Here is a 26,305-nt window from a genome sequence, read left to right as displayed (position 1 = left end):
TTTTTTTTTTTTTTTGAGACACGAGTCTCACTCTGTCGCCCAGGCTGGAGTGCCGTGATGCGATCTCGGCTCACTGCAACCTCTGCCTTCCTGATTCTCATCCTCCCAAGTAGTAGTTGGGGCTACAGGCGTGTGCCTCCACACCTGGCTGATTTTTGTATTTTTAGTAGAGACGGGGTTTCATCATGTTGCCCAGGCTGGTCTCAAACTCCTGATCTCGGGTGATCCACCTGCCTCAGCCTCCCAAAGTGCTAGGATTACAGGCGTGGGCCACCACGCCTGGCCCACGACCACATTTTCTGAACAACAGCACAGTCCCCTAATTTAGCAACTGGACTGTATTAGTCTGTTCTCATGCTGCTAATAAAGACATACCCAAGACTGGGTAATTTACAAAGGAAAGAGGTTTAGTTGACTCACAGTTCCACATGGCTAGGGAGGCCTCACAATCATGGTGGAAAGCAAAGGAGGAGCAAAGTCACATCTCACTATACTCTTGGTAGGCAAGAGAGAGCATGTGCAGGGGAACTCCCCTTTATAAAACCATCAGACCTCCTGAGACTTATTCACTATCATGAGAACAGCAGGATTCAATTACCTCCCACCAGATCCCTCCTGTGACATGTGGGGATTATGGGAGCTAAAATTCAACATGAATTTTGGTTGGGGACACAGCCAAACCATATCATGGACCAAACATGACACTTGAGTTAATCCAGAAGTTACACTACTACCCTTCTTAGAGAACTCTGTAATGGTCTTTCCACTTCCCATCTCAGAGTAAAAAGCATCCCTTCACTCAAGCTCTCCAACCTCTCAAACCATCCATCAGGTCACCTGTATAATACATGTTTAATATTAAATGACCATAGTCTATAATGTTGGCAGCTTTTTCTCAATAGAGAAAAACTATTACTCACTCTTCCAAGAAGCACACTCAGGTGCCTCCCTGGTCCCCAAATGAAAATCAATTCTGGTTTGAAACTTTGAAAACTCCCTAGATGACTTCTCAAATGAAAAAGGGAAATCACAGTGGTTAAGGGAATTCTTAACGCAATAACGCAAGCCATACACGGTGGATTCTGCTTTTCCCCTATCTGATTCTCTGACATTTCTAAAATCTGCAAGTCTGACTCAAAGTACAGAATTTTCAAACTCTACAGCAAAGGCCAAGAGAGGAAGGGCTCTCTGAAACCCAGAATAAACCAGGAAATCCAACAAATGAGAGCACTCCTACTGGGAACAGAAGTGAAACCCCCTCGGAGATCCCACCACAGCCTCCATCCCCAGCCACCACCCCAGAGCAGCAGAGGTAGAGCTTGCCCTGCCCCCTTCCATAAGGGGTTGGTTCCTGGGACTCAAGGTCTTGGTGAGATGACAGCTGGAGGCAACACAAGACAGCAGTGCGCAAGCAGTGGGAGTTTTGCCTTTGAGGCACTGCAAGAGGACCTGGCATGGTAACATAGGTGGCGCCAGTCATGATAAGAACAGGGGTGAAGCAGTAGCAGTGACCGGGGGGAAAGCACAGGTAGCTGCAGCACCATGCTCAGGGCTGGGGGGTCTCTGGTGAGGAGTCAGCAGTAAGTGCTGCATCGCAGGGTTTGTTTTTGTTTTCAAGGGTGGGGAGGGAGTGGGACATGCAAAAGAAGACTTGGGATCTGGGATCTCTATATAGGAGGTTCCCTGCAATCACACAGGAAGGAGGCAGCCCAGGGAGTGGTGAAGGGAGCAGCGCTCCTTCTTCCTACCTATATGACCCAGGTACTGATGCTGCAGTTCCTCAATTCTAAAATGGAGAAAACATTTGAAGGCCAAGGCAAGACAATCACTTGAGGTCAGGAGTCCAAGACCAGCCTGAGCAACATAGTAAGACTCCATTTCTACAAATAATCTTTTTTAAAAATTAGTGGGGTGTGGCACTGCGTGCCTGTAGTCCTAGCTACTCAGGAGGCTGAGGCGGGAGGATCGCTGGAGTTCGAGGCTGCAGGGAGCCATGATTGCACCACTGCACTCCAGTATGGGCAACAGAGCAAAACCCTGTCTCCCGCCCCCCCACCGAAAAAAAAAAGAGAAAGCAGTTGGCGTATCTCTAGAGTTGTGCCCTTAGTTAAAAATTTAAAGCATTTTATTAAGAACATAAATGTTGGAGGCTCTCATCATCTTCAACATCATCATTGCAGCTGTTTTCCTAGTGGCTCTCCATGGTGGTTCTCCAGGCTGGCAGCAACAGAAGCATCTTTAGATTTACAAACAAAATCTAAATCCTCCTTTGGAAGGAGGGCATGAAGTACCATGCTGTATTAGGAATCGGGCAACCTGTGAGCCATGGAGCCCTGGAAAGGTTTGGATCTGGTAGCTCAGTCTCCTCACCTCCAAAAGAGAATTTTTTTTTCTTTTTTTTTTTTTTTTTTTTTTTTTTGAGACAGTCTCACTCTTTCACCCAAGCTGGAGTGCAGTGGCACAATCTCGGCTCACTGCAACCTCCGCCTCCCAGATTTGAACGATTCTCCTGTCTCAGCCTCCCAAGAAGCTGGGATTACAGGCACGTGCCCCCACACCCAGCTAATTTTTGTATTTTTAGTAGAGACGGGATTTCACCATGTTGGCCAGGCTGGTCTCAAACTCCTGACCTCAGGTGATCCACCTGCCTCGGCCTCCCAAAGTGGCGGGATTACAGGCATGAGCCACCGTGCCTGGCCAACAAAAGAGAATTTGAATCACCTAAGATCCTTCTCCCTGTTTATGTCCTCATTGCTATGAGACTGCATATGCTTATTAGGCTTAAAGAGTTTATTGATCAGTGTCACTGCATTTTGTGCACATGTACTCAGAGCACAAACAGCAGAGAATACAAAAATACCCCACACTGTCTGGGCTGATTAGCTGAAGAAGGAATGTGCTGATGCCTTCACGATCCTGCACTGACTGTACTCATCACGCCTTCTGTTTAGTACACATAGTGGCTGCTTTTTCACCCTCCTTACATCAGAAAAACTGCACCATTAAGGGCCCAGGGTAAATGTCAAATATCGTACTAACCAACTGATTGTAACCTCCACTTCAAACATGCTGATTTTTGTCCACTGATCCTAAAACAGACTTTATATTCATTCCACAAACATAGAAATGCCACCACTCATAGCCTAGGGCCTGGATGCAGCAACATTTCACACGGAAAAGAATGTGAACAATGGGTCCTGAGCAGAGGGTGGGGCTCCCTTTCTCGTCCCCCTTCTCCTCTCCCCTTCTCCTCCAGCCAGCTCACCCACAGTAAAAGAGCCCTTAGAATATGGGAACACCTAGTATGTTAGCTGTAAAGGCTGAAGGGGATTCCAGCCATCCAACAGCCTTTCAGTGAATCCTGCAGTGAGATAAAGTCCAGATTTCAGTGCCAGGAGGAAGTGGACGGGGGATGCGGACGTCCTGGGGAGAGAGGGGGGCACTCCTCCTGGGATGCCATGCTCCTAGGGAGACTGCAGCAGCCCTCCACATGTATGTGGGAGAGGGAAGGGAAGATCGGCAGGAGAAACAGCTCCAAACCCCTCCCTCCCTTCTTGTCACTTTGCCAGGGCTGCTTCTGTCGGGCTTGTGGCTTCTCCATTCCTGTCCCTCCCATTCTGAACACTGTAATTCAGCTAAGCTTTACCAAAAACCCACTAGAGGCTGGACGTACATCTTTAGCCTACGTCCACTTAGAAGATCTGTATGCTGTGCATATGGCATGAATGTCAAAGTGAATCAGGAGGCCCTGCCGATCAGAGTTAACCACCTAAAGAGGAGGTTCCCATATAACCACACAGAACACACTGAGGACAGCACTAAGCTGCAGAGAAACGAATGTGGAGAAAGCCCAGGAGGGGCTGGGGGAGTCCCAAGACCTCACAGAAGAGGCCATGATTCAGTTTTTCTCAGGCAGAGAGGGCAGGGAGGCATTCTGGAGGGGTGGGTGTCTTCCACAGCAACACCAGGCTGAAGACCAACAGGAGCCAGGAGGTCCCCATCCCACGTCACAGGGGTTGGGAAAAAAGCTATGTCACGTGGCAGCACAGTTTAGTGGCCAAGGGCTGAAAATACAGACCACCTGGGTCTGAATCCTGGCTCTGCCAGTGCTTAGCTGTGTGACCTTGGGCAAATCACGTCCTCTCTGTGCTTTGGTTTCTTCACCTAAAAAGTAAGTATGATCATGGTACCCACTTCAGAGTGTTGCTCTGAGGATTAAACAAGTTAGCCATGCAGTGTGCTTAGGATAACAGTGTCTGACACAGTATGCATTGAACAGACACCAACTATAACGATAACAAATGAAAATCATCATTATTGTTTTTACTATTGTTATCCTGTAAAAACTAAATTCAAATTAAGGCAAGGAGGAGGAGGGAGGAGGGGAGTGTTTTTAGGAAAAATGAACGCAATGCAACGGGGATTCCAGAGAGTACAATAGAACATCAAGCAAGTCATCAACCTCTCTGAACCTCAGGCTCTTCTTCGGTAAATCCATCCAAGAACAATATTCAGTAAAAATGCATAGTGTGCCTGCCTGTGATGCACCAGGCACAGCTAGAGATAACACACATCAGCTATTGTGTTCCATTTTGTGAGCCAGCCACACTCAGCTGACTCTGTCTCCTCTTGGACTAGGGGATTTTATGCTGCACTGTGGGTAGATGTGGTCCTGTCCTTCCCAGACAACAGGATAAGTATGATGTGCTGCAGGCCAGTGCTGTGCCACCTCCCTCCCATAGGGCATGGAGTTTGGGTAGCAGCAAAGCTTTCAAGGGGAGCACTTCATTTCCCCTGCACCTTCCACGAGGAATTCCATTTGAAAAAGACTGGTAGCTTAAAAGGTTTCCTGGGGGTAGGACATAAAGACAAAAAACTGATCCCACGTGTCCTTCAAAACAAACAGCTGAAGGTAGCTACTCTTACTTTGTCACTGCTTTTTGGATGCAACATCAAAAGGAAAGCTACCAGTCTCAGTTACTAATTCTTGCTCCTTCTCTATTCACCACTGCATTTTTTGCTTTGTTTCCTGGCCACAGCACCACTTGAGATTTCTGGCTTGCTCCAGAAGATCCTATGAAGGTGTGCACTTCGGTGCTGCTTTGCTATTTAGTAAGTATCTTCATTAACAGCTTCACTGATATTTAAGCTGCCAACCACCTGTATAAGAAAGTATATAAAAGGAAAAAGTTCAAATGCCTCACAGATTAAAGTAACTAAGAAATTCCTCTCAATTCCACAAAGATGTAGAAAAGAATTCACAGCCCTAAAATCATCAGACATAACATAATCTGGTCGTTACTGGTGGATAACATGTTATGGTTGGACACCGCTTCTCAAACTTGAGCAGACATCAGAGTCACAGGAAGGGTTTGTTAAAATGCACCTTTGTCCCGCTCATAGTGACATGGGAGCCTTAGGATCTGCTCAGTACATTCCTTTTCTGCTGAAGCAAGCTTAAGCCAATGTTTCATCATTTGCAACCAAGAGGACCCCAATTAATAGACCTGGGCCTCGCAAATGACACTGCAGGTTCTCTTCTTTCTGGGCTGTGCTCAGATACCACAAGGAGGATTTACAGGAGTGTATGCACCCTCCCTGAGTGTCCACGTCCCCAGCCTCTGCACCCTGCTTTCTTTCACTGCTCCTTCAGTTCAGGCCAATGTTGAAAGTCAGGTATTTAGACACTTCTCAAAAGAAGACATTTATGCAGCCAACAAACATGAAAAAAAGCTCATCATCACTGGTCACTAGAGAAATGCAAATCAAAACCATAATGAGATACCATCTCACGCCAGTTAGAATGGCGATCATTAAAAAGTCAGGAAACAACAGATGCTGGTGAGGCTGTGGAGAAATAGGAATGCTTTTACACTGTTGGTGGGAGTGTAAATTAGTTCAACCATTGTGGAAGACAGTGTGGTGATTCCTCAAGGATCTAGAACCAGAAATACCATTTGACCCAGCAATCTCATTATTGGGTATATACCCAACGGAATATAAATCATTCCACTAAAAAGACACATGCACATGTATGTTTATTGCAGCACTATTTTCAATAGCAAAAACTTGGAACCAACCTAAACATCCATCAATGATAGACTGGATAAAGAAAATGCGTCACATATACACCATGGAATACTATGCAGCCATAAAAAAGAATGAGTTCATGTCCTTTGCAGGGACATGGATGAAGCTGGAAGCCATCATTCTCAGCAAACTAACACAGGAACAGAAAACCAGACACTGCATGTTCTCACTCATAAGTGGGAGTTGAACAATGAGAACAAATGGACACAGGGAGGGGAACATCACACACCCGGGTCTGTTGGTGGGTAGGGGGCAAGGGGAGGGAGAACATTAGGACAAATACCTAATGCATGCGGGGCTTAAAATCTAGATGACTGGTTGATAGGCACAGCAAAGCACCATGGCACATTTATACCTATGTAACAAACCTGCATGTTCTGCACATGTATCCCAGAACTTAAAGTAAAATTTTAAAAAAATAATAATTCGAATTAAAATTTAAAAAAAGAAAGTCAGGTATTCAGTTCTACTTTCAGTGGATTTGTCTCAGTGTTCCTGTTTTGACCAGTGAAACCCTATCTATCCATTTCCTATAAAGCAAATATAGTGAGATGCTAACTGTAGGACCTAGGTGGTGGTCTATGGTGTCTGCTGTGGGATCCCCTGTACTACTGTAGAACCTCCCCGTGTGCTTACAAATTGTCACAGTAAAATATTGGGAGGGAAAATTACTTGCTTTTTTGTCCACCACCATTTCCTCTTTCTCTCTTCTGCTCTCTGACTTCCTTTTTAGTATTTTTCTTCTTCCCATACCATAGGTGGAAAGATTAAGGTCAAATCAGAGGAACAGAACCAGGGCTGGAAAGGTCAGGCGGGCTACATTTCTTTCTGCTGCTCCTTCCCTCAAGCCCTATCATTTTCCTGCACAGAATCAGGCCTGGAGAGGACAGGAATCGGGAAGGAGAGCAGAAGGCCCCTAATATGCGCATGGTACCAAGTGCAGAAAAAGTTATTCAAAACATTAATTTTAAAAATTAACAATACAACAATAAAAAAATTTAAAATGACACAGTATAACAACTATGTATGCGGCAGTTACATTGCATGAGGTATCATAAGTAATCTAGAGATCACTTAAAGTATATGGGAGGATGTGTGTAGGTTATATGCAAACACCCTTTATATCAGGGACTTGAGCATCCATGGATTTTGGTATCCACAGTGGGTCCTGGAACCAATCCCCCAAGGATACCAAGGAATGACTGTATTTGCTTTTCCCTGACATTTTCTCTTTGGAACAAGTTTCCAAAACATGAACCTATCAATGGGAGAAGTGTCCAGCATCTCATTCATTGTCCTTTAGAAACATTCCTATGCTTCTTCCGGCCTTATTTTATATATTTTGTGGGTTTTTTTTTTTTTTTTTTTTTTTTTTGAGATAGAGTGTCACTCTGTCACCCAGGCTGGAGTGCAGTGGTGCGCTCTTGGCTGACTGCAACCTCCGCCTCCCAGGTTCAAGCAATTCTCCTGTCTCAGCCTCCCAAGTAGCTGGGACTACAGGACTATGCCACCACGCCCGGCTAAGGCTAATTTTTTTTTTTTTTTTTTTTTTTTTTTTGGGTAAAGACAGGATTTCACCATGTTGGTCAGGCTGGTCTTGAACTCCTGACCTCAGGTGATCCATCCACCTCAGCCTCCCAAAGTGGCATAAGCCACCCTGCCCGGCCGAGGCCTTATTTTAAACACTGCTTTTAAAAATATTTCCGTATTCCAGCAGCTCTAATGATCTGTTATTGTGGAATGTATGTATTCATTTAAAAATCTAAGTTTATATGTTGCTTATTGGATATAGAAAAAATAATAATAAACATAAAAATCTAAGTTTAAAGTGTGCTGTTGGGTTGAAAATAATAAAAACAAAAATAATGGAAATGATGTTTCAATCCAGGATAATAGAATAATAAACAAAATTACACATAGGATGCTTTACCCACATTTACTCCTTATGACAAAGAAGGTGTTACCTTCATCTGAAAGACAAGGAAGCACAAGCTCAGGGCAGCTACACAGCTTGCCTGCAGCTTCACAGTGGGGAAGTGGCAGAGCCAGGATTCCAACTCAGGCCAGCCCCACGCCCCCAAGCTCCTCTTGTTCCATCAGACCGCCAGAAAACAGGTGTGCTCATCATTCAATAAATACTGAGTGCCTACCAGGTAGCAGGTGCTCTTCTAAGCACTAGGGACAGAGCCGAGTACAAAAAAGAAGCATACAGTCCCTGTCTGCAGGGGGCTTACTTTCCAGCCATGAGAAGACAGACCGTAAACAAGCAGGTGTGTGCAATGGCATCAAGAGCAGAGAAGGAAAACAAGGCAGCAGGAGGAGGAGGATGGAGGTCAAGGACACTTCCTATAGAGGCACCAGGTGCTTTCCGGGCAGAGGGAGCAGCAAACACAAACACACTGCCGCAGGAGTGCACCTGGCAATCCGAAGGACAGCTGTCACCAAACACCAGCAGAACGTGTGGCTGGAGCTCCAGGAGCCAGGGCACAGAGGAGCGAGACCACACCTGAGAGGCAGGGGACAGGGTTGGGCCCTGAGGGCATCGCTGGCCATTTCAAGGACTCTGCTTTTCACTCTGAGTGAATGGGGAGAGCCACTAGAGGGTTGACGCAGAGAAGTGACATGACTCAGGTGTTCCAAGGACCAGGACTAGGGCACAGAAGGGTGGGGGCATGACCCAACTGGTCACAAGGGAGGCAGTGGGAATTGGTTGGAGTTGACACATATTTTTAAGGTAGAAGTGATGGCATTTCACTGATGGACTGTGAGACATGAGAAAAGGAGGGTTTAAGGGTGATGCCACTGGCTGTGGCCTGAGCAACCAAGAAGATGGAGTTGCTATTTACACAAATGGGAAGATTTGGGGGAGCAGGTTAGGGGATGGTGAGAGAGATGGAGAGGAAGGCATTGAGATTCGGTTTTGGACATGTTACACTTTTGGACATCCAAGGGTGATGTCACAAAGGCAGTTAGAGGGGTCCCAGCTGGAGATGCAAATTTGGACGTTATCCACTTAGAGTGTTAAAAGCCATGAGAATGGACCCGTCACCTAGAACAATGGTTCTCAATGGGGACAGGGCTGTCCCTCAGGGGATGTGTTGAAAATCTGAGGGCACATTTTTGGTTGTCACCATGACTGGATGTGTTACTAATATTTAACGGGTAGGAGGACAGGAAATTCAGATGTCCTAAAATGCTCATGACAATCTTACACAAAGAACTGCTCCACGACCCACACACTTTCCACATATTCCGCAGGCACTGACACAGGTGGAACACCTTTTATTATTATCTGAGCCTAGAGCCTCCCTCCATTTGACTCATAAAAACAATGTGCCCCTTGCCTAGCTCTAAGAGTGTCTTCACCAAGAGTGTCTGCTCTAAGTCCAAAAATACTAAAACAAAGGGAGCCGGCACCATGCTTGGTTCAGAACTTCACCAAGAGTGTCTGCTATTTCAAAACAATCCCGTCACTCCTTCTGCAGCAGCCTTCACCGTAGTTGAGTCATCAACACAATTCAAATCAGTCTGCATCTCAAATCCATCTGCATTGTAGCTGTCACGCCCGTGGTGCTTTAAGGAGCATCTCAAGGCCTTTAGCACAGCTGTGCAGATGGAAATCCATGCTAATATAGAAGATCATATTGACTTTTCTAAAGTATTGCATGAGGTAGGTGCTACTGTCTATGAATTCATCTCAGGGCAGCTAAGGAGGCACTAGGCTTTGCACGGTGAGAGCCTCTCATGTAAAGAAATGAATGCAGCTAGAAAAGAGATGAGTCTAGGAATGTGGCATGGGCCCACCCAACCTTAGAGACCAAAGGGATGGGGGGAGGAGAAAACCAGAGGAGAACGCACTCCCTCATGAAGGGCGTAATCAACAGCGTCCATGCTGCTGCGGGGTCCAGTAAGAGGGGCTTGAAGAACTACAACTGGATTGTGGGGGGCTGCAAAGATCGTGCATGACCTCGACCCCTATCCAGGGCCGTGCTTGGGGCAAAACTGCCGGGATGTCCATGCAACCCAGGGCAGAGGACCTTAATTACTGTGTTAAACACTTTGCAGACCTCCTTTCTGGACCCCAGAGGGCCCCCACTCCCACCCGCTAGCTCTATTCCTTCATGTCCAGGCATGCTGGTCCTCCTGCGACCCCTCCTTGGGAGCCTCCTTCCCTGCCCCGAGAGGCCACTGGTTTGCTTACTGCCCTCTTCAATCCTCCCAACCCAGGGTATCCAGGCGCTCTGCCTGGCCCTGTGCATTTTGATCCATACCCTGCTGAGTCGGGACTCAAAAGCCAAGGAAGTTGAAGACTTAGAACTCTTCATGCCGGAAGAGGCTGCAGGCAGAGGCCGCACCCGGTCTGGGCCGTGGCCCCCTGCTCTGATGGCTGGGTTCCAGGGCTTGGCTGCACTCCGCATGCTTGACTTCGTGGGTCTGTCCTGCAAAAGAGCAGAAAAGAAAAACATGTCTCCATCACTTGAACCTGCTGCATGACATCATCACACTTTACACCCCACATACCACGTCACCATGAACTATCACAGAGTAGGAGCACCTATGATTTGGCTGGAAATAGAATATTCCTAAGATGGGTTTATAGGCTTTATACTAGGCTAATTTTTACAACTCCATAACAGCTTTTACCAAACTACTGAAACATATCCACATTACTGATGTCCTGACATCACTTTTCAGCAGAATGACCTGAGACAGCATTCCACCAAATACCCATACACTATGTATCTGTATCTCACACCCAGATAAAACAGGTCAGCCAGAGTCAACCAATAAAATGCCCATAAGCTTTGTGGCTTTAGGGTTGACAAAGGAACAATATACTTATTTTTAAAATAAACATAAATGAATTACTTGAAAGAATTCACAGAAGCACAAAATGACTTTTTTCTTCTTTTGGATAAAAATGGGTATCATAAAAAATTAATGAAGCATATTTTAATTGGTCAGACCCAACACTGTTGGGCAGAGTGACTGCCCTAACTACAATATTTTATGAAAGGAAAATTGTTCAAACCAGCAAGATACAGCTGAAGACATCAGGGGAAAATCCACACAGAGATGTGGAAGGCAGCCCGAGACTGGCCAGCAGGGACCGGCACTGTGATTCCTGAGCAAGGAGCGGCCTGGTCCATCCCTCACCCTCTCAGAGCCTCTGTTTCTTCTGTCAATAACATAACAGGACTGGATTAAATGCCCTCTCGGTTCTCTTCCAGCCCCAACCCTGACTCCGCCTGTCCCCATGGACTCAGGGTGTGACACAGGGCACCAAACCCATGATGTTCTGTCCTTTCAAAGAACATCAGAAATGCACTTTACAAAACACCCACAAGTGACAACCAATTCTAACTGCCACTCTCACAGTGCACAGGGTGGGGGCAGGGTGGGTCTCACTAACTGCCCCCGGGGGATGGCGGCCAGTGCTAGCGTCCCTGGCTGCCTCTCCCCTCACAGCCCGTTAGCCAGCCACGAGAAGAACCACAGGCAGCATCCTGCTCAGTCTGCGACCTTGTTTCTCCTGACAATGTCTCTCTAGTTCCCGACCATCTAGTTCCCGACCCTATTGAAACAGTGACCAGCTGGTGGCGTGTGTCCAGGCATGCATCTGACTGAGCTCACGCTGCAGAGCTGATGGCAGCGGCTCTGTGAATGCTGCTACCAGTGGAAACACTCCTTTAAAGGCGGCGTAATTTGTTTTCCACAGTGTTTCCAAGGAAAACTATTAATGATTCAGTTACATAATTAGTTCAGAACCTTATGAGTCTCAGCTTTGTTCCAAGTATGATGATTTTTTTAAAATTCTGGATTACAGAAAGCAAGTTAATTATCATGTATTTTACAGATGTTCAGCACCGATTATTTTTCTTCTTCAACCCACGATTTTTATTGCTTGTTTCCACAGCAACAATGAAAGAATGCATAGGTTGAGACCTATACAGTAACTAATTTCATGAGGACCTCCTCCCAATATAAAATGAATGAACAGAGCCGGAGTGACTCTTGAAGAGAATTACTGATGAATTTCACCAATTACTGCAGAATCAACCAGCAACCTGTCAGTCTGACTGACTCATGGAGATGACTTAATAAAGTATCTGTTTAATCAAGACACCCTTTTATGTTATGATTAGAATTACTTAGAAATGACTATTACAGTCCAGGCACAGTGGCTCATGCCTGTAATTCCAATATTTTGGGAGGCCAAAGTGGGAGGATCACTTGAGTCTAGGAGTTTGAGACCAGCCTGGGCAACATAGCAAGACTCTGTCTCTACAAAAAATACAAAAATTAGCCAGGCATGGTGGTGCACACCTGTAGTCCCAGCTACTTGGGACAGTGACAGAGTGAAAACCTCTCTCTAAATAAAAAAAAAAAATAAAGGACTGGATATTACAGGGCTTACTTTATGAAAACATAGGATGATTTTGCAATCTGTCTACATTTTCCAAAATCTGCCCAGGTTACCCCTGAAATGAAATGCCTTTTATTTATTGCCCACCACCACACCACCACAAAAGAGAAAAATATAGAGATGAAAAACAGCAGGAAGAGGGTGGATGTTTTCCCTGTCAACCTTTTCCCCAACATTTCAGGAGTCTAAGTCCTTGGTTAAAGAAAAGAAGGAAAAGCCACCTCAGTCAAAATTAAAAGATCTAAACTTCTCTCTTAATCTCTGGCAACAAATGCGTCGATCCTGTGGATGGTGCCCCTGACGAACACGCAGCCTCCTTTCCAGGGTTGGCAGGTGGCCCGCTCTGAGGCAGCACTGTCCAGGCCCATGTTTGTTGCATCAGGGTCCCTTTCTCTTGGACCCTCTGAATTCAACCCAACTACTCCCACATGACTGCACCCAGAAAATGCTCCTCATCCATCCCCCTCCTGCTGCCCACACTCCCTTTCCTGAGCATCTTCGGCTTCATTCCCATCATTGTTTTCCTGGGCAAGGCCTTCCATTTTGTACCCACCCATCAGCCATACACTGCTCCTCAAATCCCATCTTCTTCTCAAATTTAAAATATACAATATAGGCTGGGAGTGGCTCACACCTGTAATCCCAGCACTTTAGGAGGCCAAGGTGGATGGACTGCCTGTGCTCAGGAGTTCGAGACCAGCCTGGGCAACATGGTGAGACCCTGTCTCACTAAAAATACAAAAAATTAGGGGGACGTGGTGACACACACCTGTAGCCCCAGCTACTTGGGGAGATGAGGCATGAAAATCACTTGAACCCGGGAGGCAGAGGTTGTAGTGAACCAAGATTGAGCTACTGCACTCCAGCCTGGGTGACAGAGGGAGACTCCATCTCCAAAAAAAAAAAAAACAAAAAACAAAAACAAAAACAAAAACAAAAAACCCACAATATGGTGCCCTCCGTCCACTTGCAGGAAGGACTCCTACTAGAAGGGGAGCAGGTGCACCCCTAGGCCCACTCCAAGTTTCTTCAGGTTTCCTCCCAATCCACTTCCCACCACTTCTACATCCCTCCCGTCATCTCAGCCCCTCAGCCTGGCTCTCTGAAGCCAGTTCATTTACATAAATGCTGTCATGAGCTGAGAGCAGCTATCCTATTTCATTCTGAGCCTGGCAAAGCACTGCTAAATGCTCTATGTAAATAGCTCAGTAACCCTACGAGGTAAGGGTCACCTCCTGCTATGATCTGAATGTTCTCCCAGAATGTACATGTTGGAACCTAACCCCCATTGTGGTATTAGGAGGTAGGGCATCTGGGAGGCAGAGCCCTCATCAATGTAATTAGTGCCTGAGGGAGCTTGTTTGCCCCTTCCACCAAGTGAGGGCACTGCAAGAGGACTCCATCTATGAACCAGACAGCAGGCCCTTGCCAGATACCAAATCTAGTGGCACCTTGATCTTAGACTATGCAGCCTCCAGAACTGTGAGCAATAAATTTCTGTTGCTTATAAGTCACCCAGTTTATGGTATTTCTCTTACAGCAGCCTGAACAGACTAAGACATATCCATTTCACAGGTGGGGAAACTTCATTTCCCCAAGGGAGGTTAAGCAACTTGCCCAAATCTCAGAGTTTATCTTGGAGCCAAGATTCAGATCCAGTTTAAATTGGTTCCAAAACCTACACACCTAAACACCAGGGACGGATGGCCTCTCTGAATAATCTTTGCTCCCTGGAGAGCACCAAGGCTATAGATCAAATGCACCTGGTCCAAATTCAGCTCCACTGTTGACATTGTGAACTCAGCCATGCTTTCTGAACATGATTCTCTACATCTTCACCCAATAAGATGGAGTTATCAGTGCCAACTTCATAAAACTGTAAAGATGAAAGGAGAACAAGTCCATCAGGTGCCAGGCACACAGAAGGCTGTTGACAACTATGAGCCGCCCTCTCGACAAAAACTGTTGATGGTGTTCAACGGAGCGCTGCTCTGCCTTCTGACTCAGCAGCACACAGTGATGGGTCAATTAAATGTGTGTTCAGGGCAGGAGGCAGACAGACATATCAGATCCAAGGAACACACTCTTCTACACAGAGAAGACTATTTTCACTTGGAAATGTGAAAGAGAGAAAGAAGCGAGGGAAACACACCTGCAGGGAAGACACTTCACAGCAATTAAAATTGCCCAGGGCTTAACAAATCCTGGCTGCTGAAAGATAAACACAGGTGGGAATGCTAGCTGAGTAATCGTTTTCTTATGGATATGAATTAGCCATACAAAATAAACAGGCTCCAGCCAAGTACAAGACAGTGAAAAGAAGGTTTCTATTATTAATCTCATGATTTCCTAAAATCCTCATGAACACCACAAAGGATCACATCGATCAAGGAATTACAGTTAAATCTAGGACCCCACACCCATGGTGGGGTGGGGGATGTCGTTCCAGGGGTGTTTTCTTTAAATTTGTCAAACATTTTATTTTCTTACCAAGTTTCTCTCCTCTCCAGAATAGTGTAGGACTTAAACTGCAACTCTTAAATTTCACAGTGTAAAGTAGAAGAGAAAGGAGGGAGGGAGAAAAGGAGGAGAGAGGGAACCCCTATTTAAGGAATACAATTAGGCGCTGGGCAACAGTTAAAGTCAGAGTCCACACGTCTCCTGCTCCCTGAAAACACGCTGTTCCGCCACTAAATTGCTGCCTTCGGAGCCTGCGTTGGAGAGGTTATCTCGGGCCTCAGCTTCATTATCCTTTTAAGGCAAGAAATAGAAAGGCAACTGGGAAACCATTCTGGACAATCAGAAAATAATGACGAGTCTCCAGGAGTGGGAGAGGGCACTCAGGGCTCGGCTACAAGCACAATAAGCACTGGGAAGCGGAAGAGGCCAAACCATTCAAGTCTGAGAACCAACAAAATAAGAATGTGCACATAGCTCAATTGCCAGGGGACTCAGCAGGAAATAGAACGTAAGTGAACCACATGTTGAAAATACTGAGCTGGAGCTTTTTGGAACATGGGTCGAATTTGCTCCTGACCTCTTCTACAGTAGTAGTTCTAAGCCCAATGGGCACGTGGCAATGTGCAGAGGCATTTACGGTGTCACAACTTGGGGTGCTACTGGACAGAGCCCAGAGATGCTGCTAGACATCGGTAACCCAAAGGGGAGCCCTACAACAAGGAAGCATCTGGCCTACAATGTCAGCAGTGCCACGGTGGAGAGACTTCCAGAGGAAGAATGAGAGCCCTGGGACACTGGCTCCTAGACCAGCCGGCACATGACATATCTGCTTAGCCTCACCACCTAACATGGAAACATTAACACTGAAAATCTGGTTGGGGCGCAGCTGACGGAATCCCAGACTTCAGCAAATGGCCACAGGAAATGCTTCAAAGCTGATTATTTCCCACAGTCTTGAGATGAAAAATCATCCCAATAGCCTCAGATTCTTTCCCAGTAAATAAGGAAAAGAACAGATTTCCATACAGCATCAGAAGAAAAATTCCAAAGTAAAATTCATTGATCCCATCAGCAGAAGTCACTGGAAAAAAAGAAGTGATAAAAACAAAAACTAAATGGAAAAGAACATTTGTACATCGCTAACCACACCACCTCAAACCTGAAAACAAACTTTGATAGTGGAGTAAGAAACTATGGACTCCTGCCAGAAGGTGAAGACCCATAAAGAATAGGGTGTAATCTGGAGACCCATAAGGAATAGGGTATAATATGGAGACCCATAAGGAATAGGGTGTAATCTGGAATAAGAAACAGAGGCCGAGGCAAGTCCCAAATATGAAATGCAGACCCAAGAGAGAGGCTATAATCTGGCAGCTATATTGAGACCAAGAGCTCACAATCACTGGTCTGTGACGTCCTTCTGTCTCCAAAGCTGCCTCAAGCAACCAGCATCCCAAAGAGCTAAATGACCACTAATAAGTAGTTATTCCCTTACCTGTAACATGGCTTCCATCAAAGGATTAAAGTGAATGAGCCAAGGCAGTAGGAAAAGGAGATGGAAATAAAATAAGAGCCCTTTTTTTTTTTTTTTGGAATAGTGTAAAATGGTCTAGTGCAAAGTAAACAGAATAAAAACTACAGTATAGGAGGGAACCAGAGACTTTCATATCTATCTAGGCTGCAGCATCTTGAGCCATATTTATCAAGTCCTGGCTCCGGGCCTTTGCACATGCAACTGCCTCTGCCTGGGACGCCAGCTGGGGAACTGAGGTGAGCTGAGAAAGGAAGTGTTTACAAAGGTGTGGGCAGGGCTTGTAATGAAAGGGAGAAGCAAAACGGAAAGTGCAGCACCCCAGAGCTAGGAAACACCTCATACGCATCCTCTCCCTCCCTCCAACCTGACAGCCAGTGCTGCCCACAGGCTCAGGGAAGGCATGGGACACAGGTACAGTGTCTACGGTCGCCTGCGCTGGTGCAGAGCTGGAGGAAGAAGACAGAGATGTGGTGTGGCAAACAGGAGGCCCAGGAAACCTGCCCAGCTCCCATGGCCCGGCTAACTTCAACACCACCTTCCAAAGTGTGCTCAAGTCTCTCCGCTCCAGAAAATCTTCTCCTAGTCTGAGACGGTCTCATACGTATGCCTCTCCTTGTTGGTAAGCCCTTCCCAGGGGCAGCCTCCTGGCATCTGCCTGTGTACAGCCAGCCTCAGCCTGGGGCACAGAACAAACCCTGAATAACCAGCTTCAGCCCGGACTTCCCTATTTCTGTCATCGGCACAGCCTTTCTCTTGCTCTTCCAGACTCAAAACCTCAGTCATCTTGGACTCCTCTCTAGGGCGCCCATTTCTCAAATTCACGGCTGTCCAGGCCAGCAGATCAGATGCCTGCAACATTTCCTGTAGGAGCCCTGCCTTTTTCTCCAGCACAGATTGGCATTAAGGCCCTCCTGGGCTCATCCGTTCCACATATTCAAGACAGATTTCTGAAAATTCAGCTGGGGTCAGTCATTTTCTGCTCAAAATCCTGCATTTTATCTTATTTACTCATTTATTTTTTTAGAGATGGGGTCTTACTCCATTGCCCAAGCTGGAGTGCTGTGGCATAATCACAATTCACTACAGCCTCGACCCCCTGGGCTTAAGGGATCCTCCTGCCTCAGCCTCCCAAGTAGCTGGGACAACAGATGTGTCACCACGCCTGGCTAATTTTTTTTTTTTTATATAGAGGCGAAATCTCACCTTGTTGCCTAGGCTGGTCTCAAACTCATGGGCTCAAGTGATCCTCCCGCGTCAAGCCTCCCAAAATGCTGGGATTACTGGCATGAGCCACTGCACTCAGCCCATTTTACTGTATTTTTAAGCTAACATTTAGCAACACCAACTAAGAGACTGGCACCATGTTCATCATTTTCCTTCGTCTTCTTTCATGTTTCTGACTACCCTGTGAGGTAGCTGCTGTCATCCCCATTTTATAGTTCAGCAACAAGGGAATGTCGAGGAGTTTGCTAACTCCCCCAACGGGACCCTCAGCAATGCCACTTCAGGCTGTGTGCCTAACCCTGGCCTACTGCTCCCCTTACACACCGTCTGAGTCCATTTGGGTTCCTACAACAAAAAACTGTAGACTGGGTAATTTATAAACAAGGCAAACTCATTGCTTACAGTTTTGGAGGCTGGGAAGTCCAAGGCAAGGCACCAGCAGATTCAGTGTCTGGTGAGGGCTCACTCTGCCGCACAGAAGGTGCCTTCTTGCTGCGCCTCACATGGCAGAAGGGGCAAGGGAGCTCCTCAAGCCTGTTTTGCACAAGCACAATCCCATTCATGAGGGTGAAGCCCTCATGGCCGACTTCCCAAAGGCCCCACCTCTTAATCCTATCACATGGGGTTTTAGGTTCCAACAGATAAATTTTGGGGGGTACATCAACATTCAGACAATAGCATCCACCAAATTAAATGACGGCTTGCCTGAGCTCGGCTGAGCCACGCTGACCCCTTACCCTGCAGCGTAGCCAAACAGGACTCTTCTCTGCACTTCCAATGAAACTTGCGGTTCTCATCTTGGGGTATTCACCAATCTGAGGGCCTCCCTGTATGAATGTTTTATCCCCTCCTTTTAGGCTTATGCCAATCAAGACTTTCTTGCAAAAACCTTTCTGATGAGATACTCCCAGCTCTAAACCTCCAGAAAATCGTCTCTCTTCTGGAACTCCTAGGTCTGTGACCACTGCCCACCCCTTGGGCCAGCCCTGCCTCTCACCCGGGTGCTGCAGCCTCCCCTCACTGGCTCTTGGCTTCTGCTCTTGCCCCTTCTTGCCTACCACTTAATGCCCATTCAGCAGCCACAGGAGTCTTTTCAAAACACAAATCATGAACTGTCCACTTAAAAATGGTTAAGATGGTAAATTTCATGTTATGTGACTTTTTTTCACTAAAATTAAAGTTTCAAAATTAAGACACGTACACAAAAATCAGATCACATCACTCCCTACACAGAACCCCCCAGTGGCTTCTCACTGCATTGGGAGTGAAAGCCCAAGGTCTTTGTCCCAGCCCCAAGCTCCTAGGCTTCCTGGCCCTGCCCACCTCCTCGCCTAGCTCTGATCACTCTCCCCTGCTCACTGTGCTTCATGTGGGCCGCTCCCAGCTCCCTGAGCATGTGCAGCTAGTTCCCAAGGAAGAGCTCTGACCCTGCTGTTCCCTCTGTCCAGAATGTCCCCCCAGCTCCTCACACAGTGGGCTCCTTTCTCCTAGGTCAGTCTCTGCTCCAAGGTGCTTCCTCTAGGAGGCGTCTTTCTTATACTCTCTAGAGTAGCTCTCCCACCCCACCAAACAGCCCCTGGTTTATTTCTTCAGAGCCTTTATCACCAAATGAAGACTCTCACTGCCATCGATTATCTGCCATTGATTTTCTGTCATGGGTTATCTGCCTTCCTGTGCTACTAGGGAAGGTCCGTGATAGCAGGGCCTTTACCTCCCTTGTTCACCATTGTGTTCCTGGCACATAATAAGTGTTCAACAAATATTAGTTAATGAATACTTAGATTCTGGCTTTCACTGAAAACATGCATATGGGTGCCTCCCTGGCCCTGCCCCACCAGCCAGGGAGCTTCTACAAAGGTACACAGTCCCAGCAGGCAGGAGCCACTCACTAAATAGGTGCTGAATTAACGGGCAAGCACAAAAGAGAACTGGAAGGCAATGACAATCCTTCTCCCATAATACTTATAAATATCTCTAAATGGTTGAAAAAAAATAATAAAGTCCCCAGACTGCTTTCAGGATGAGAGCCCCATGGATGTGAATATAGAGCCTTCCAGCACTACTACCTTGAAAACATTCATGCTGATGTGTAAGCATCAGTGTTATAAAACTTAATATTCTTAACTCACAGTCATGCTTGAGAAATAATTCCTAAATTTATTCCTGAGGGATGGCTTTTAAAACTTTTGGTTTACACCCTAGTTTCACAGAAATAGTAAACAATACTTTACATTTCTATGGTTTCAGATTTAACCAGGCATCTTCACAGAAACATAATAAATGAATTTATGTTAATAAATGCTTTGTAAAGTATGAACTGATGGTAACCATAGACTTAGGAACTTGATAATTTAAAGTATCAAGTCTGAGTACCTTATCTTTTATCCAACCTTTTCTGCTTCTTTGTTCCTAACTTAGGGGCCCCTAAGCCAAGCGGGGATATGGGCACAGCCCTGTGATGTCAGGAGAACAGCTTCCCAGGCAACAGGCAGGCCAGTTCTGTTGCATTCTATTCTATTTCCTCTGGAAACAATGCAAGAACTGCAGGGCATGCTGCCCCACCCACCCAGCAAAACCTCTGTGTGCTCTACCAACATGCTTCCGTGCATTTGAACGATGAGGACCTGGGAGGAAGGGGACAAACCCTCTTCCCCCGCACTGCTGAGCACAGACGCAAAAAAGGGACCCTCCATAACGAGAGCCCCCACCCATGGATGGAGAGGTCTGGCCCCTCACCACGTCCACTGCCCCTCCCTCTGCTCACTATACTTCAGCCACTCTGGTCCAGAGGAAGATAAAATCAAGGAGGAGCCAGCCCAGCTCTGCAAACTCAGGAGAGGCAGGCTACACATGCCACATGCCCCTGGTGACACATACTGGCTGTATGGGACCCAACAAGAGAAGCCAGAGGGTGATCTCATAAGTCCCCTAGTGGCTTAATTCAATGCACAGAAGCCTTAAGTCATGAGCAGCAGGGTCTCAACTGGACCCAACCACACTGAGTGCTGTGGCCTCGGCATGTGAAGAGGCTGGCTGAGGAGGGTCCCTGGCAGTCTGTCTGTCTGTCTGTGGAAGTGAAGGGTCTCCTGGGATAACACTTGGCCTAGGGGGAGAGACAGGAGGTGGGAACAGGGCCATCAAGGCAACATGGAAAGAGCTACTTCCCCAGGAAAATTCTGAGGCCTCCACCATACTCATCATGGCTTCTGGGGCGTGCTGAAGACTTGGCACTATGGCACCTCACAGCCACAGGGCAACAAGGCAGCAGTGGTGCCCAGGGTGGCGGAGGCAGCAGTGGGACTGCAGGCAGCAGAGGCCTTCAGTGTCATGGACATGATGGCAGCAGCCATCCCAGAAAGTGCCTGGCCAGGTAGAGAAGGGAGAGAGAGATGGCACATTAGCTAGGCCTATTCATTTGCTTCACTCCTTGGGGACATCAGGAAGAAAAGAGGGGAACACAGAACTTTGCTGGAGCTTCTCTAGTTGCAGAGGATGCAGGAACAAAACCTGGATCATCGCCGCATGGCCCTAACTCACATCTGCATCCCGCCGTGGGTACCCAGAGTCGTGGTGGATATCCCCTCCACTGAACAGGGAATATCCATCCACTCGCACATGCAGCGGGAGTCCGCCATTGCTCAGAGCACCGTGAGTTCTGGATTTCCTTATTGTTGCCAGATTAAGTTAAATCACTGAATGTGGCTGATTTCTTTTTTGTTCTCGCATTCCTGAGATTTTCTTTTCTAACCCACAGGCTTTAGCAATATTCCTGCAGTGCCAGCTGGCTAATGAAAGCAACTGCTGTGCTTTGCAGGGTTAATTTATTCAGTGCCTGGAATATGCCCTATCCTTCGTCAGCATCAATCGCTTCTAGCATTGTGTTTTAAATATACACAGGAACCACAAATACGACGGATAATTTTGCAGGCTGCTCCTGGGATTACCTTGTCATTACACGTTCCTTGCACAGGAGTAAGTCTACAAGGAACAGCAAGTACAGCAACTGCTGTGCGATCTGTTTCCAGCGTGAGGGACAGAAACGGTTATGTAACAGCACTTCCGCTGCCCCCTATGGATGTGCCCTTTATGACACAGACACATCTGACTTTCAAAATAAAGAGGGACAGTTACCCCCGACCCTCAAAGAGCACAGCCTGAGCCATGCCATGAAGCCACCTCCACCTCCTCTTTGTTGGAGGATAAGGCACACCAAGTGCTCAGGCCCCTGCTCCCTTCTGCCCACTCCTGCCAGCTGTCTTGCACTTTGACCCCAGGCACAGCAAATGACCAGCAGCTGCAGGGATGCTGAGTTCTATCATCCAGCCTCCAGGCCTGCCCAAGGCCACTCTAAGCCCAGAACAGGCTTCCCAGCCTGAACTCCTGCTTTTCACTTACCCTCTACTGTCTGGTAAACCTCAGTTCACAGCCCCTTGTCTGGGCACAGACCTGCTTCCACACCACAGTGTGTCCACAGCACCCTGGACCCAGGCTTATCAGCAGGCCTTACACCAGACAAAGACTGTTTCCCTGTGTGACTCCCACCCCCACCTCCCTTGCCCAGATGGTCCCTGAGTGAAGGGCTCTGTCTCATTCCTCTGTGGTTCCACACCTGTGGGCCCAGTGTCTGGTCCACATTAAAGACAGCCCATTGACCTAAAGGTGAAACCTGAAACTAGAAAACCTCTAGAAGAAAACAGGAGAAAACTGTTGTGACCTCGAGTAAGGCAAAGATTTCTTAGTTACAACACCAAAAATATGAGCAATAAAATAACTAAGATAAAAAAACAAAAAAACCCACCTGATTAATGGGATACTGTCAAAATTTAAAACTTATGGTCTTCAAAAGACATTGTCAACAAAATGAAAAGACAAGCCATCAACTGGAAGGGAAATATCTGCAAAACACAAAACTGATAAAGGACTTGAATCTTGAATTCTTGAATAATAACCATTTTTGTTATTATTTGTTACTTTTATTTTTTATTTATTGAGACGGAGTCTTCCCCTTGTCGCCCAGGCTGGAGTGCAATGGCAACGGCACAGTCTCGGCTCACTGCAACCTCTGCCTCCCAGGTTCAAGCAATTCTCCTGCCTCAGCCTCCCGAGTAGCTGGAATTACAAGTGCCCTCCACTGTGCCCGACTAATTTTTATATTTTTAGTAGAGACAGGGTTTCACCATGTTGGTCAGGTTGGTCTCAAACTCCTGACCTCAGGTGATCTGCCCGCCTCGCCTCCCAAAGTGCTGGGATTACAGGCGTGAGTCACAGTGCCCAGCCTCTTTGTTATTTTTGTTAAAAATAACAAATGATGTCCATATTAATAACAAATAATAATAATAAACTGCACAAGGCAATAAAAAATGACCAAATATTTAAATAAAAACTTCACCACACAAGATATTTGGATGGCAAATAAGCACATGAAAAAATGCTTGACATCATTAGTCATTAAGAAAATGCAAATTGAAACCATAAGAGCTATCACTACACACCTACTAGAATGGCTAAAAATTTAAAAACAAAACAAAACAGTATCAAGTGCTGGCAAGGATATGGAGCAACTGGAACTCTAATACATTGCTGGCGGAAATGCAAAATGGTACAGCCACTTTGCAGTGCTGAAGTTTCTTAAAAATTAAACATATACAATCCATTAATCCCACTCTTCAGTATTTATCCAAGAGAAATAAAATTTGTATTCACACAAACATCTGTAACACTAATGTTCATGGCAGCTTGATTTCGTAACAGCAAAAGTCAAGCAACCTAACTCTCCCTCAACAGTGAGTGGATACATAAACTGATGCATCCCCACATTAGACTAGTACTCAGCAATAGAAAGAATGAACTCAGCAATAAAAGTGAATGAATAGCACACACACAAAAAGGATGTATTTCAAATGCACTATGCTAAGTGAAAAAAGCCTAAACTCAAAAGGCCACCTATCTACACAAATCTTACCCATCTTTAAGTCCCAGATCAAATGTCAGTTCACCCTTGTAGTCTTATCTGCCATCTCCCCACACCTACAAAGACAAATGTGATTTGGTGTTGCTCTAAATTCCAAGCATTTTGTCTATGTCCTCTCTTGTATGACTGTATATGCCAGTTATGTCTCTCCAACTAACTGGAAGTGCCAACTCTGATTCGCCTTTGCATTTAAAAGGAAAGGCAAATCAGTGGCCCCACCAGCAGCTGGCTGGCATTCAGACCCCTTCTGCTGTGCCTGCTGCCTAGCATCTGGATCAATGCCTTACATATGAGAAGTGTTCAGAAATTTTGTTTGATGAATTAACAAAAAATTAAATGTCCCAGGTGACCTGTGTCAGATATAGTTGGTGTGGTCAGGACTCAAAGAATAATACAGTCCAGGAGTCTGGACTAGATGTCTCTTAGTACTATTTTTAGATGGATGAATGAACGAACGAACGAACGAACGAACGAACGAACGAACGAACGAACGAACACCAAAGGACACAGCAACCAGTGCTAGAAAGAAGCCCACTAACAGGCTATGGTGTGTGAGCACAGTGGGTGCTGGAGGGGAAAGTGGCATCTCACTGAGACTCTAGTCATGGGCTGAACTGTGTCCCTCCCCGCCACTCCCTTCCTATGTTGAAGCCCTAACCCCTAATGTCTCAGAATGTAACTGTATTTGGAGAGAGGGTCTTTCAAGTGGTAATTAAGGTGCAATGAGGTCATATGGTTGAGCCCTAATCCAGTATGACTGATGTCCATATAAGAAAAGATTAGGACACAGGCACACACAGAGGGATAACCATGTGAAGATACAAGGTGAATATATATATATATACACACATATAGTTTGAGACAGGGTCTTGCTCTGTTGCCAAGGCTGGAGAGCAGTGGCATGATCATACCTCACTGAAGCCTCAAACTCAACACTCAAGCAACCCTCCCACCTCAGCCTCTTCAGTAGCTGGGACAAGGTGCGCACCACCACGCCTGGCTAATTTTTTTCTTTTTTGAGAAATGGGGTCTCACTGTGTTGCCCAGGCTGGTCTCAAACTCCTGGGATGAAGCAATTCTCCTGCCTCAACCTCCCAAAATAACACCTTGATTTTGACTCCAATGTCTGCTTCCAGTACTGTGAGAAAATTAATGTCTTTTGTTTAAGACCTACAGTCTGTGTTACTTTGTTGTGAGCGACCAAGCAGACTAATACAACTCTGAAGGATGGGTAGGAGGTTGACATGTGAAAACTGGAGGAGAGGGCATTCCAGGTGAGAAGAGGAGCACCCCCAAAAGCAGGCAAGGAGTAGTGCTGTTTGGCCACAGCGCGCGAGCACGGTGGAAGTTGTGCAAAATGGCACTGGAAAACAAGAGTGGCGGTGGATGGCGGAGGCCCAGAACGGCAGGTTGAAGAGCTGAGGCTTTGAGGGTGCCTTTTCCCTGTCTTGACTGGTAACAACTCAGTATCATCTGTGATGGAAGGAGGCAGCGGGAGCAGCAGCAGGAGTCTGAACGGCCAGCCAGCTGCAGGTGGGGCCACCGTGGCCTCAACTGGCACACATGGGCCCCAGGGGCTCCTGGGGTGGCTTTGGGGGCAGCAAAGGTTTGTTGATTGAAAAGTTGTGTGTGTGTTGTAATGTGGGAAACTCAGGGCCCCAGCATAGCTCACCTGTGAAAAGTTACAGCACGGATCAGAGCAACAAACACATCACGGGATCCTGACGCCCAGAACGCTGCACCCGTGGGCTCTACATTCCGGACAGATCCCAGTCCAGCCCAATCTTCCAGATGCCACCACCCCTCTAATTCACCTCCATCCTCTCCTCAGCCCTCTCCCTCCACCTGGCTAATCTTTCCACACTAACCACAATGATCCTTTAGCAATGTAGGTCAGATCCCATCACTCCTCTGCTCAAAGCCCTCCAGTCGGTCCCTGTGTCCCTTGGAATAAAACGCAGGCTTCCTCCCATGGTTCACACGCACACCCCACATCCCCGCTCCCCAGGCCCTCCTCTCCCCTTCATTCCCTGTGCTCTGCTGCACTGGGAAAAAAAACCAGGCCCAAAACGAGTCGTGGGAATTCACTCGTTTACACAAACAGCTGGGGACTGTCTCATTCATTTGTTTGCTCAAGAATCATTCTGGAAGCACCTCCTGTATCTAGGCACTGCAGTAGGCACCAGGACACAGGATGGACAAAACCAAACACCACCCCTCCCCACCTGGGGCTCACCATCCAGTGTAGGGAACTATCAAATGGCCTTGAAAATACCAGATATCAATTGGGAAAATGCTACTAAAAAGTCACACAGTGACAGAAGAGCTTATTCAAGGGGCACATGACCCAGCAGGAAGGAAAAGACCCTTTGGTGACCCTTCCAGGATAAGAAGCATGAACTAGATGACAAGAGGGAGAGAAACTCACAGGCACAGGGAACAGCAAAGCAAGGAGGAGGCATACTGGGGCAGGAAGGAGAATGCAAGTTTGGGGCAGGGGTTTCAAGTTCCTGCAGCTACAGGGGTGACGCCGGCAAGAAGGACCACAGGAGGGCCCCAGTGACCACCCCCCCCTGCACTGATCCCATCATGTGGGCCT

The 26,305-nt window shown here is 46.8% G+C and overlaps 1 protein-coding gene across 26 annotated transcripts in view, besides 2 other annotated features; it reads right to left on the bottom strand.

The window, feature by feature from the left end:
• Positions 1-26,305, bottom strand: part of SPECC1 (sperm antigen with calponin homology and coiled-coil domains 1) — a 309,668-nt gene that overhangs the window by 211,867 nt on the left and 71,496 nt on the right. For 19 of the 26 annotated variants that reach the window (NM_001386083.2, NM_001386078.2, XM_047437065.1 and 16 more), the window contains one exon: positions 10,362-10,529. In NM_001386083.2, coding sequence (NP_001373012.2) covers positions 10,362-10,508 — 147 coding nt within the window. In that variant the 5' untranslated portion in view covers positions 10,509-10,529. Of the gene's footprint in view, positions 1-10,361; positions 10,530-11,247; positions 11,461-20,108; positions 20,139-26,305 lie in introns of those variants that run through there. The other 7 variants (XM_047437060.1, XM_047437068.1, XM_047437073.1 and 4 more) reach the window with 3 other exon arrangements.
• Positions 1,330-1,624: a silencer, noted in NCBI's record as "tiled region #1687; K562 Repressive non-DNase unmatched - State 24:Quies". NCBI's record gives its function as "represses a minimal TATA promoter and a strong SV40 promoter by Sharpr-MPRA in K562 cells {active_cell/tissue: K562}" and the evidence as "EXISTENCE:reporter gene assay evidence [ECO:0000049][PMID:27701403]".
• Positions 1,406-1,455: a silencer, noted in NCBI's record as "silent region_8305". NCBI's record gives its function as "represses an Ori minimal core promoter by ATAC-STARR-seq in GM12878 lymphoblastoid cells {active_cell/tissue: GM12878}" and the evidence as "EXISTENCE:reporter gene assay evidence [ECO:0000049][PMID:35858748]".

Source organism: Homo sapiens, chromosome 17 (genome assembly GCF_000001405.40).
Source record: "Homo sapiens chromosome 17, GRCh38.p14 Primary Assembly".
Classification (NCBI taxonomy): domain Eukaryota; kingdom Metazoa; phylum Chordata; class Mammalia; order Primates; family Hominidae; genus Homo; species Homo sapiens.
Note: the sequence above shows the minus strand (reverse complement) of the source record. Positions and strands in the feature narration are given on the sequence as shown.